Source organism: Homo sapiens, chromosome 5 (genome assembly GCF_000001405.40).
Source record: "Homo sapiens chromosome 5, GRCh38.p14 Primary Assembly".
Taxonomy (NCBI): Eukaryota; Metazoa; Chordata; class Mammalia; order Primates; family Hominidae; genus Homo; species Homo sapiens.
In genome coordinates, this window is record NC_000005.10 from 145,714,103 (window position 1) to 145,728,757 (window position 14,655).

Below are 14,655 nucleotides of genomic sequence, written 5' to 3' on the forward strand. Positions count from 1 at the left end.
TTTTACCCTCTCGTCCCCTCCCCAACTCCCAGCAAGATGTCCTCAGGAAGAGAGCATGAATATAGTAATGAAATAGGCTCCTCTGTGGTGTTTGGTCAAGTTTTAGGCACAACACCAACCACTTTTAGCCTCAATCCACTCTGTTTATGTTAGAATTAAATAAGTGTGACAGATTGGCATGAAACTTCATGACCGAGATTTAACAGGCACAAATGCCCAAGGAACCAAACAAGAGCTAAGAAGAACTCCCCATGGGACTTCAAGGGAATAAGCTTGTATTAATATCCTTCTTGGACAGAAGTAACTTCCCTGAAGTATCTTCCCTCCAGGTCAATAAACCCTATTCCCTGCTTTGAAAATAAGAATCAAATCGTTTTTGAAGCTGGAGCTTCAAAAACAAAACACCAGGAAGCTAGGACCTCTTCCCTAGAATATTTCAAGAATTCTGCCTTTCCAGGAAATAATATGTGTTAAGTTCCTATTAAGTGCTAAGTAATTTCATATATTTTACCTCATTTAACCTTTACAACCGATCTTTGAAGTTCAAATTCAAATCCAATTTTGTCTGATTCTAATATCTGTGTCGTAAGTTCACAAGTCTCCTTGTTGCCAAATCCAAACTCCCTTTCTCTCCTTTTATTTTACCAGGCCTTTCAATAAGCACTTAACAGTTAACTCGCCTGCATTCTTGAAGCACTTTCTTCTTGTTGCTTCTGTGCCATCCCTCTTTCCTGCTCTTCTTTCTACTTCATTATCTTCTCTCTGTCTTTTTTCTGGGCTCCGCTACTTATTCCTAACCACTCAGCAGCTAATCCTGGGCCTCTTTCTCTATTTTACCTACATACTCAATCTAGGAGTATGTCGATAACTTAATCCTAGACCTCTTTCTCCATTTTATCTACATACTCCATCTAGGCAAGCCTTCCCAATGCCATGGATTTAAATACCACATCTGTATTAAAGACTTCAAAATTTCTCCTGGAAATCCACACTCATACAATCAACCCTTTATTTGTCATTTCTGTTTGTACTTCTGATAGAAATGTTTGCTTTTTTATTATCAAAACAGAACTTTTCTATTCCCCAGGAATTCTTCAGTCATCTTCAGTATAAATAGCATCTCCACTCACCGAATTACTCAAGCCAAAAATCTAGAGGTTATCTTCAGTCCCTTTATTTCCTTATCCCCCAAAATCAATGCAATAGCAAATCTAGTTAACTTGTCTTCAAATGAATCCCAACAGCCATTTCTCCTCTTTACTTCTACTACCCTAATCTGAGCTGCCATCGCCTCTTGCCTAGACCATTGCTATACTTTCTAACTGATCTCCCTGATTCCAATCTTACTAAAATCCATTTTCTGCAGAATAGCCAGTGAACTTTTTGGAACTTAAATCCAATCAAGTTACTCTCCTACTTAAAAATCATCCAATGCTTCCATCCCACTTAGAATGAAATCCAAACTTCCCACCCCAGCTTACAACCACCCACATGATTGGATGCCTGTCTTCTTCTCTGACCTCATTCTGCTCCCACTTCACTCACCACTGCCCATCCACACTGGTTTCTGTACTTCACACCCACCACACTGGCTTCCACCTTAAAGCCTTTGCGTGTGCTAGTCATGCTCCAGAAATGTTTCTCCCTATGAGTGTCCCATGGATGGCTTCTTCTTGTCATTTAGGCCCAGTAGATAAACTGTTACTTCTGCAGAGAAGGCTTTCTTGACCATCGATCTAGAGGAGTCACCAAGTAAAATATCATCACATCATTGTATTTTAATTATCTCCATGGCAAGTATCATTATCTATTTTCTTGTTTATTTATTTGTTTAGGTCTAACCAAGCTTGTCCAACCCATGGCCCTCTGGCTGCGTGTGGCCCAGGATGGCTTTGAATGTGGCCCAACCCAAATTTGTAAACTTTCTTAAAACATTATGAGATTTTTTTTGGCGATTTTTTTTTAGCTCATCAGCTATTGGTAGTATTAATGTACTTTATATGTAGCCCAAGACAACGATTCTTCTTCCAATGTGGCCCAGAGAAGCCAAAAGATTGGACACCCCTGGTCTAAGTCTTCTGTTAGAATGTAAAATCCAAAACCTATCCTGTCTTGTTCGTCATTGTATATGTAGCGACTAGAATAGTGCCCAGCACATGGTGGGCTCTCAACAAATGTCTACTGAAAGGATCAGTCGATGAATAACCAAGGAGACAAAGCAAAGATGTTTATCATAAAGGAAGAGAAAACCACCAGGAATCCTTCACTGAGAAGAAATCGTGGTGAGCTACCATGTCTTGACACTTCTATATCAGAGCCACCTTGTTTTGGGGTGGGTGCTCAGAAACCTCTTTCTCATCTTCAAAGGCAAGTCAAGATTTCTTCTTCTATCTATATATTTCTTTTTAACTTTTTACTGTTATAACATTAAAGACATTTTGAAAACATAAAAAGGCAATCTATGATACCATCATAACAAAGCAGCTTTCATGTATTCATCTTTCCTTTGAGTTTTTATTCATAAGAAGACATAGTTTTCACACAGTTGCAACCAAAGTATATACGCTATTTTACTGGCTTGATTTTTACACTTACTATTATATTATAACCATTTTCTATGCTACTGAAGATCTGAATATTTTTGTAATATTAATAACAGCTAGCATTTATTGAGAGTTTGCTATGTGCCTGGCATTGCTCTCAACACTGGTATTGTCTTGTTTTATCTGCACAATAACTTTTTAGAGTGTGTCCTATTATTATTTCCATTTTGTTCTATTTTCTCTTCTGGACAAGGCACTTGCACCTGCACACTATATGTATGAACACAAAGTTGATTGTTGATATTGACTGACACAACTCATATACCCATCAATAATGGAATGCGTGAATAAAGTATGATACATCTAGTCTGTGTGCACTATACTGCTATTAAAAATAAGTACGTGAAACTATATAAGAAGATATGGAAAAAATATTAAGTGAAAAGAGAATCAGAAAAATATGTTTATTATGATCCCATTAATGCTTATTTTAATAAATCATGCATAGCTACATTAAGGAAAGCCACATACTATTTTATTCTATTTCTCTGAAATGTCTGGCCCACACAAATCCCTAGTGACAGAAAGTAGATTAATGGTTGACAGAGGCTGGGGAGAAGGGGAAATGGAGAGTGACTACTAACAGGCATGAGGTTTCTTTGAGGGTGATAAAGATGTCTGAAAATTAGACAGTAGTTATGGCTGGTTGCTCAACTTTGTGAATATACTAAAACCCACTCAGCTGTACACTTTAAAATGGTTAATTTTATGGTATGTGAGTTATGTTTCAATAAATAATATGTTTTTAAAATAACTGAAGAAAAAAGTCTTATCATATATACGCATGTATTTGAGTAAAGAAAGAGGATAAAACGATGCACAGAAAATTGGTAGTGGTAGAAGAAAGAAGAGGTGGAAATATGTAAGACAATAAAGGGAGTTTCTTTCTGCCTAGTTCTATTTCATTTGAATCATATGATTTGATACAATTACAATTTTATTTCTTGTATTATTTAATATAATAAATTAGATTTAAAATAATTATAATAAAATTTAAAACTTCAAATCAAGTAAGTAAAATTATAATAAAATATTATAAATTAAAATCAAGTAAGTAAAATGGGCCCTAATATTTAATTTTTGTTAGCTAACCAAAGTGCTAAGATCAATACTATCAACAGATGTAATATAAATGAGAGGATTGCAGGGTAGTGTTTCTCCTTCTTAGTTCATTTGTCCTTCAGAGGCTGAGTATTTTCTTCTCCATGGTAAGAATAACTTTTCTGGATTCATAATGGGTTTTGACATTATACTACATTAAAAATATATATAGCTACTGTCGACTCTTAAATAGTCACCCTGGAGAGTGACAGTAAGGATAATTGAAGTTCGTGGAAAGCAAAGAACAAATCTGACACTGCTATATTTTCTTATTTTTGTTTCATCCAAGAATGCAAAATAAAATGCTCAAATGCAACAGTGAAAAAGTAGAGGCATTATCTGTAGATTACATATGGTCATCTACTTAGGAAAAACAACAGAATCTAGAGACAAGCTATTAGAAAAAATAAGAGCTTAGCAATGATGCTGATATATGATTGACCTACAAAAATCAATAGTATTCCTCAACACCAGCAATAACTAATTAGAAAATATAATAAAAAATAAAATAAGCAACAAACTATGAAATATCTAGGAATTAACCTAAGTGACAAAACTGAATATCTCTCCAGAAAACAATCCTAAAATCTAATAAAGAATGTAAAAGATGATTAGAATAAATGGAAAGATCTTCCATGACTTGAATAAAATTAATAATAATTTTCAAGACATAAATTTTCCGATAACTAATGTATAAATTCCCAGTCAAATTTCAACTTGAATGCATTTGAGAAATTTATCATATTTGCTCTAAAATTTACAGGGAAGAATAAAGACCCATGCTTAGCTAAGTAAACCATAAAACAAAAAACTAAAAAGCAAGCTTCTAGATATTAAGATATATTTATTAAGCCATAAAAATTAACAAATAGACCAACGGAACAGAATAAATAGCAGAGAAACACACTAGTGTGTTTGAATACTTGACATATGACAAAATGCAAATAATTAAGAAAAGATTTGATTGTTTAAGAGAAGGTATTGGAAAAAATGTTTATTACATGGAGAAAAATATAACTGGTTTCCTCCATAATATTACATGAAAAGGGCCACTCTTGATAAGTGTAAGATGTGAGGGTAACAGGTAGAACCATAAAGTTAACTGAGGAAAATGTCTTGGACTTTATAAATAAATAAAATAAAAGCATACACTATATGGGAAAAAGAAGGTGACTGATTTGATGGCATCAAATGTAAAGAGTTCTGCTTTCTGGGTATCCTGAGGATAATGATGGCCATCTAAATCTGAATCACTTGACAACATTTCCAAACCATAAAGATTAACAAAAGTACAAATAAAACCACAGGAGACACAAACCTTCAGGATAACTGGAAGACAGAGAACACTAGCTCCCCCTGAAGGCATTTGTAGAGAATGTGGGAAGTCCAGGAAAACTGTGGGAAGAGAAAAGGGGGAGTAGCATGTCTAAGATTAAATTAAAATCACCCTGAGAAAGAGAAGGCCTATACTAATCATGAAAAAATTTAACAAGAAGAGTGACTGCAGGCTTTAAGATGTGTAGGACTCAAGGTGGCGGCCTCAGAAGGGCACAATAACTTGAGAAAAAGACAGTATAAAGAAAAACACTTCGGAGTCTTGATGGTGAAGAGAAGCATGTAAAAGAAACAAAATCCTACAAGACAAAAGGTAGTAAAAATATTGGGAGATAAATGGTAACTTTCCCATTACGAGAGAGAGAGAGAGAGAGAGAGGGAATACATACATATGTGCATGCATACATATATTTATACATAATGACAGATCGATATCCATTGAAGAAGCTCCACTTCATTACACAGATAGAAGAGGGATCTCTTGAATTAAATGCTTATAGTCTCCCCGGATTGCCAACCTGATACACAAAATAAAGACTGAAAAAGAATCTACATTTATACAAACCTACCGGAAGGATAAAATGGAAACCTAAAATTGAAACATTCAAAATGATAAAATTCCTCCCCCTCCAACCTCCAAAACAACTACAAAGCCAAAGAAACTATAGTGCAATACCCCAAACTAAATCCAGTGTCTTCAAACAAGTATGTAGGAATATGAAAAACACCTTAAATCAGATCATCAAAATCTAAGGAACAGAAATGTACATAAAACAGAAAGAAATTAAGTAAGAGTTGATTGAAAAAAAGAAATCTTCTCAGAAAAATGAAAAATTAAATTACAAATTACCCAAGGAATATTATATGCAAATGAACATGTGATAAGAGGAAATGAAGAAAAGCAGAAAAATGAGACAATAAAAATAAAACATTAAAAGGGTCTAAAAGGAAGTGATTTAAATGAAGGACAAGCAAAGAAGATCCAATTACATGTAATTGAACTCTCTGAAAAAGAAAAAAGAATGTAATAGAACTAATATTTTAAAATATAATTTCAGAAAATGTTCAGGAAATTACAGAAAATCTAAATCCACATACTAAATGGGCCCACCAGATACTTGAGAAAATTCACCCTCAGTAGTCAACCCTCAGATATATTCCAGTAAAATTATGAGACATTAAAGATAATTTTAAAAAAAAAACCTCAGGTCTCCCAGAAGGGAAAAAAAAATCTTACAATGGCAACAGAATTGTTAGCATCAGACTTCTCAAGAGCAACATACAGATCAAGGCAAGAAGCAAGCAGTATTTGCAAGAAATTCAAGAGGAAAAAAAATGTGAACCAAAGATTTTATATTCAGCTAAGCTGTTCTTCAAGATCAAGGTCTAAAAAGATAAATAAATAAAAACTAGTTTTACATATGTAAAAACTTGGAGAGTCCTGTATTCATGACTCCTTCTTGAAGAAACTACTAAAGGACTAGTTTCATCCATCCATGTTATCACTGTGAAAATTTAGGTAAAAGGGTTAATAGTGAGGACTTAATACATATAATTTTAGATTTAAGACTAAAACAGAAATAGAGACAAAGGTAGAAAAATAACATAAAATGTCAAATGCTCCCATAAAATAAAAATAATCTGAAAAAAAAGTGAAAGAAAAGGGAGAGGGGAATTGGAAAGGAGAATAAATGCATTGATTGTTGTATAGAAGCAGTTCTCAAATGTTTTGGCCTCTGAAATCTTTTACACTTCTAAGCTTTTTGAGGACCTCAGAAAGTTTTTGTTTATGTGAGTTATATCTATTATGAAGTAGATATATCTGCCATATTAGAAATTAAATTTGAAAGGTTTTAAAATATTTTTTATTTTAAAATAATAAACCCATTACATAATATAAAACTTTTTCCAAAAAATATAGCAGCAAGAATTATTTCACATTTTTGCAAATCCCTTTAAGGTCTGTCTTAATAGAAGACAGCTAGATTTTCATATGTGTTTCACACTTTCATTAGCCATCAGAGCAATGATATCATCACTTACCATATAGCCTCTGGAAAACTTTCACACGCATTCATGAGAAAAGGATAGTAGAAAAGTGAAATGATGTCTTAGTATTATTATGAAAATAGTTTTGATCTCACAGATTCCATGAAAGCGTTTCAAGGATCCCCTACTGAACATTTTGAGAACAGCTATTGTATAGATCAAGGGGAGGAGTCAAGGGTATGTCAGAAACTGGCAAGCCAGAGAATAAAGGCTAACCAGCAGACAAGGGAATTTTTAAAAGGTGTAAATACAAATGTTATCACTAAATACCTAATCCTAATACCAAAAGAAATTTTAAAAATTAAAGAGCAAAGCAAACACATCATATAGAGAAACAGAAAATGTAATAAAATCACATAGTAATTTTATAAAAACTACAACTGAAATAAAGTGACAGAGTATAGATCAAACATAACAAGGATATTAGTTAATTGTGGATTGGCTTAACTCATCTTCTAAAATAAAAATATTTCTGAATTAACTCACCAACAGGTATCAAAGCCAGGATGTATATAAGACCCACACCTAAAAACAGTGATTCAGAAGAGCTAAATCTAAAGGGATGGACACAGACATAACAGGAAATAGAATTAATAAGAAGGCAGGGTTTGCAATCCTGACATAAGACAAGGTAGAATGCCAACCAGAAAAACCTTTTAATGTAACAAAAAAGCACTTTAATGTTAAAATCTGTAATTCAAAATAGAGATAAAACATTTAGGAATATTTATGCACCAAATAACAGAGCAACCACCTGCATAAAGCAGAAACTGTAGGAGAAGCAAGCAGAAATATACAGAAGCACGCTAAAAATAGACTTTAGTATCCTACACCAGGTCAAGTAGACAAAACATTGATAGACTTAAACAGCATTCTCAATAAGACAGATCTTACAGATCTTATAGAAATGTATCAAACATTAAACCCTGATAATAGAAAATACATTTTCCTCTTTAGCACACATGGAGCATTTACAAAATTGATCAAGTATTAGGTAAAAAAAAATCGGTAAGTCACAAGGAGAAGAAATATTACCGACAACACTCTCAGATTATAATACAATAAAATAAGGAATATGATAATTCAAAATTTAAAAACTCAACTGAAAATAATTTGGGATTTTTTCTGAGACAGAGTCTCGCTCTGTCTCCCAGGCTGGAGTGCAGTAGCACAATCTCAGCTCACTGCAACCTCCGCCTCACAGGTTATAGCGATTCTCCTGTCTCAGTCTCCAGACTAGCTGGGATTACAGGCGTGTGCCACCACACCTAGCTAATTTTTGTAGTTTTAGTAGAAACCAGTATCAAATTAATAATTTTTTTTTGAGACAGAGTCTCACTCTGTGTCACCCAGGCTGGAATGCAGTGGCACAATCTTGGCTCACTGCAGCCTCCACCTCCTGGGTTCAAGCGATTCTCCTGCCTCAGCCTCCTGAGTAGCTGGGACTACAGGCACAGCACTACAATGCCCAGCTAATTTTTGTATTTTTGTTAGAGACGGGGTTTCACCATGTTGGCCAAGCTGATCTTGATCTCCTGTTCTAAGCTGATCCGCCCACCTCGGCCTCCCAAAGTGCTGGGATTACAGGTGTGAGCCACCACACCCGGCCCCAAATTAATAATTTATTTTAAAAAATACAGTTTACCAACATTGACTAAAGTAGAGTTTAGAAAACTTAAACCAACTTTTATAGAAAAAACATTGTATCAAGGCTATACCCCCCAAAAAGGTACCAGGAGCAGAAGTTTTCACAAGGAAATTTGACCAAACTATCAATAACCAGAGAGACCCGATGTTACAAAAATTGTTTCAAAACATAAAACATGAAGGAAAATTGTCAAAAATCATTGTATGAAGCAAGTATAATATTGATACCTAAATTTGATTGTCAAAAATTTAAATAAAATTACAGACCAATATAGCTTATAAATACTAATGCAAAAATAGTAAATATTTACAAGCAAATAGAATTCATCACCATACTGTGAAAATAATACATAATGACCAAGCAGAGTTTATTCCAGGAATGCAATGTATCATAAATATAAGAAATTCATGAATATAAAGTAAGCACACAAACACACCATGATTCTGTAGCCACAGTTTTATTTTATACAAAAACACTACAGAAACGTGCAAGACTTGTACCAAATATCCTATTGGGTGCACAGACCAGGACTATTCAATGTAGAGAGGTCTGTACAAAGGAGTAATTACATGGAGATGGGATTATTGAGACCATTTTGGAACGTTTGCAAAACGTATCACAGATAAAAAGCTATTATCTTTAATATATTTAACAACTTAAAAGGGGGAAATAACTAAAGCCTTAATAAAACAATGAGTTAAAGGCACAAGCCAAAAATTCATTAAAAAGGCATACAATAGTCCTTAATCATATGAAACTATTTTAATTTTACTCATAATAAAAGAAATGCAAATAAAATGACACTGAGATACCATTTCTCTTCTATCACATTGGCAAAAAGTTTAAAAGCTTGGCAACACATTCTGTTGGCAAGGCTTGTGAGGCACTCTCATTCATTGCTGGTGGGAATGTAAATGACACAACTCTTACGTTGGGGGAATTTGGCAATCTCTAACAAATTGTATGTGCATTTTTCTTACAACTCAGCAATCTCAAATCTAGAAACTTACCCTGAATATATATCTCCAACAATAAGAAAAGACATTTGCATTAGGTTATTCATAGCAGCCTTATTTATAAATGCAAAATATTGGAAGTGACCTAAATATCTATATATAAAAGATTGATCAAGTAAATTCTGATGCATACACACAATGGAATGCTATGCATTTGTAATAAAGAATAAAGGATAGCTCTATGAGCTAATATGAAATAAGTTCAGCATATATTGATAAGTGACAAATGCAACATGCAAATATACATATATTTCAAACATGTCTATGTAAAAGTAGTTAATTACAAAGGGAAAAATGGTTATCGGCAGACTCGCCTTAACCAAGTGACCTAGGTTAACAGCTTCAGTAACGGTATAAATTGGTATCATGGTCCCCTTGATATGATGTTCTGAGACCACAATATTATCTTTATATTTCTGCCAAAAAATTATGATCATAAAAAAATCAGACAAACCTAAACTTAGAAGCCATCTACAAAATAAAACGTTAAAGACATGAAAAATAAAGAATCCTGAGGGTCTGAGATAATGAAAGGAAACAAAAGAGGCTTAAGCAGAATCCTGAATTGAAGGGAGAAATATCAATCTATAATACCAATATTAAGGTGATTGGCAAAAGTTGAACATAGATAATGGATTAGATAATAATACTGAATCAATGTTAAACATCCTGATTCCATACTTATACTTTTGTTATTCCTCGTTGATGTTTTTAGGGAAAACACTGAAATAACAAGAAGTAAATAAATATATATATATATATATATATATATATATATATATATATATATATAATGCCTGTAACTTACTTGCAAACAGTTCTTTAAAAGTATAAAAAATGAATGTATGTGTATACATATTACATATATAATATATATAATATAAAATATTATATATTATATATATATGTAACAGGGTCTTGTTTTGTCACTCAGGCTGGAGTGAAGTGGCATGATCATGGTACACCATAGCCTTGACCTCCAGGCTCAAGCAATCCTCCCACCTCAGCCTCCAGAGTAGCTGAGACCACAGATGCACACCACTAAGCCTAGCTAATTTTTTAAATTTTTGTAGAAATGAGGTCTCACTATGTTACTTAGGCTGGTCTCATACTCCTGGACCAAAATGATCCTCCCACATCAGCCTCCCAACGTGCTGGGATTAGAGGTATGAACCACCACTCCCAGCCAACAAATACTTTTTAAATGTGGATCTCTGTTTGACAATAATATGAACAAAGTAAAGTACTTGAAATGTCTAAAATTCATAAGTTATTGACTGTATGTGAAAGGAATTCAAAGCAACAAGAAAAGAGCAATCCCAGTAGAATAAAAGACAAAAGCAATTTACAGAGGAGGAAACCCCAAAAGTTATCAAACATAATAAGGTGCTCAGAATCATCGTTAATTTGATAAATTCACATTTAAAAAACAATGAGACAGCACTTCACCTCTAACTCACAAACATTAGAAGTCTGAATAATTCTTGGAGTTGGTAGAAATGTAGGGATGTAAACCTTTAAGCATTGCTAACAGGTATACATGGAATAGAAACCAGTATAGCCATTCCAGATAACAAATGAGCACTACTTCATTAACTTAAATATATGTCTGCTGTTAAAAAATAAAAAAGTCACTGGATATATTTAAAATGACAAGAAAGACCTTATTCAATACTATTGCAATAGCACAGAGAGGCTGAATTCAACTCCACTGAAACAAAAGGCAGTAAGATTCTTAAACGCTGGGAGGAGCTAATAGAAAACTACTAGAGAGTACTAAAGGACATCAGTGTAGGGAGGGTGGCCAATGTGATTAGGTCATCTGTGTTTGCTAATTGTCACTTTCCAAGGGTAGGCTTTTCAAGAGTAGGCTTCTACCCTCCCATAGAGACTGAGAAATGTGGTTCTATTGCCTTCAATGATTATATCTCAACAGGCTGACTCCAAGATCCTTGAGCAAGACTTTTCTGGGTTGTAGAAGATTTACATATTCTATAGGGAAAAACTTGATAATTAGAATTAAGAATTTAAACAGAAAGAATTTACACGTGGGTGCAGTAGCTTATGCCTGTAATTCCAGCACTTTGGTAGGCCAAGGCAGGTAGATCACTTGAGCCCAGGAGTTTGAGACCAGCTAGGGCAACATAGTGAGACCCTGTGTCTACAAAAAAAATTTTTTTTAATAGCCAGAGTAGTCTCAGCTACTCCAGAGGCTGAGGTGGGAGGATTGCTTGAGCCCACGAGATGGAGGTTGCAGTGAACCCTGATCCTGCCACTGCACTCTAGCCTGGCTGACAGAGCAAGACACTATCTCAGAAAAGAAAGAAAGAGCAAAAGAGAAAGAAAGAGCGAAAGAGAGAAGAAAGGAAGGAAGGAAGGAAGGAGGGAGGGAGGGAGGGAGGGACGGAGGGGGAAAGAGAGAAAGAGACAGAAAGAAAGAAAGAAAAAGAAAGAGAGAGAGAGAGAAAGAGAGAAAGAGAAAGAAAAGGGAAAGAAAGAATTTACAATTGCATATTTTCTCAAGTAAATACTCTAAGCAAAAGGAGGTCAGGGATCTATAGTCAGGGAGAAATCAGTCTAAATTTTAGTCAAGCTGAGAAGAACATTAAGTCTGTCTTGGTCAATGCCTATTAGCAATTTAATTCCTGGAGATGGATGAATAGATGGATAAGTAGATGATTAACAGATGGATGGATAGATATGTAGACAGATAGGCGAATATGTACAAGTATGTTCACTGGCACTATTTTTAGGACCAGGATCAGGAAGTTGGAGTCCACCAAGGTGCCTATCTCTGGGAGAATGGATAGGCAAAGTATGATGGATATACAATTATGTAGGTTAAATATAAATTGCCTTGCATCAGTTCCCTCAGCCCAGTTCTGACACCAGCTGTAGCTTTTCACACTGACAGCTTTCCACCTCAACCTTCTGTAGCATGTCTATTAACTTTTCACACTTTGAACTTTCACTCAAACTGTGGGAGCTTGCTCTGCCCACACAAATTGTACACTAGCTCTTGAAGCTTCTGTCTGGAAGTAAATTATAACATTTCATTGTGGTAGCGTGATCAGACCCAACACCAGGTCATTGGGGTGATGAAGTCCAGTGGAGTCAAAGGAATGAGAAAAGACAGTTTGAGAGATAAAGTGGGTCCAGGGGGCCAACGTGAGTATGGAGGCTGTGAAGGCCCAGAGTTCTGGAAGCCCAGACTATTTATTGGTGATCAAACAAAGAAACAGGTGGTGAGAATGTGGGGTTGAAAGGGAGCACTGCGTTAAGCACCTGATTTACAGTTGTGATGGTTTAGCATTTATATGGCCAATTCCAAGACACAATCAATCTAGGAGACTGGGAGGGCTAGAAGCAAGGAGCCAGCAAGTCTAGACACACTCCAAAGCCATGAGGGGGTTCATGCCCTGAGCCCTGGATTCTATCCAACCCACGAGGGGTTTTATGCCCTGGGCTTAGATTATGGTGCGTCAGGGTAGCCTTCCACCCTTTAGCACAGAGCTTGGTGTTCCAAAGGCCATGAGGGGTTTTAGACCCTGGACCCTGGACATGTTTCAAGACTCTTTTACATTATGTCAGACATGCAAGCCCTGCCTCAGCTTCTCCCAATACTCAGCTTTCCTCTCAACATGCCCCCCTTTTCTTTTTCATAAAACCACCACAGCTATCATTGCTTGTTCTTGATGACGGCTTTCTCTTCAGAGGCAGCTTCCTCTTCAGAGGTGGCTTCTGCATCTGTAAACTAAAAGGAGACAGCACAAGCACACAACCACCAGAACAAAATCCACAAATGTAGAGCCTCCAATGGCCTTCAACTGTAAATCTTTTGGAACGGGATAAGAGTTTTTAAGGATCTCAGTTACAATACAAATAGATGGTGATGTCTCCCATGGTCTATTTAGAGACACAGGGATCCAAACTCCTTCCCTGGCTTTAATTATCAAGACAGTTTGATTTTTATCAAAGGTTGAATCAAGGCAGGTAAACAAGCAACATTCAGGGCATGTAATAAAGTGTGTATTTATATCAAGAGTAACATTTCCTATTGCTAGCACAACTGTGAATCCAAAAGGTCCCACTGGAGAGAAAAGAAAGAGCATTTTTATCCTTACCTCCCTCCCCTCTGTTCATTTTATACTTTCCCTCTCAGATTTTGACTGGACTTTGAGCCATAGCTAATTTCCATAATTCAGAATATTCCTGTCTGTCCCTGCAAATCTCTGCTAGTCTTTGCTAGTCTCTACGTTTGTACCTCTTTAGGGCACTGACCAGTACCTCTCTAGAGCACTGACCGTATATTGCTAGTCTTTGCTTTTGTACATCTTTAGGGCACTGATCAGTATCTCTTTAGGGCACTGACCTTATATTGTTAGTCTTCATCTATCCCTGCCTGTCCCTGTCTGTCCCTATGATACCTGTTAGTTCCTGTGAGTTCCTGCAAGTCCCTGTCTATCTATCTCTATTTATCTCTATCTCTACTTACTTATCTCTACATCTTCCTGGAAACCTTTTTTATGGCCCTGGGTAGAGCTCAGAAATCCACACTTCAAGCTTCAGCAAGAGACAAAACAGGGACCCCGGATCTGGAACCAGATTGAAGGGAACAGGAAGTGTTCTCCCCTCCCAAAGCAGGAAAACCAGAGTTTGGTCCTTGCAAATTTCTACTCCACATCAGCATCATCCTCAATTTCCTGGAATGAATTGTTGATCATGGCAATTAACACATTTAGCAAAACAATGACCACTGTAACATTATAGACTCCATAACGAACATAACCAATATTTTCAATGAATTTGTGGTTATAGTTGATGACCACTGATTTCACTTCAGCAAGTCCAAATATAGCCCAGAACAGTGTCTTAAAACTCTCTTCAACTGTTGTGAAGGCTT

The 14,655-nt window shown here is 35.6% G+C and overlaps 1 protein-coding gene across 8 annotated transcripts in view; it reads right to left on the reverse strand.

Annotated features, from left to right (window-relative positions):
- PRELID2 (PRELI domain containing 2) overlaps positions 1-14,655 on the reverse strand; it is a 606,358-nt gene that overhangs the window by 485,118 nt on the left and 106,585 nt on the right. The gene's annotated exons all lie outside the window — the stretch shown is intronic.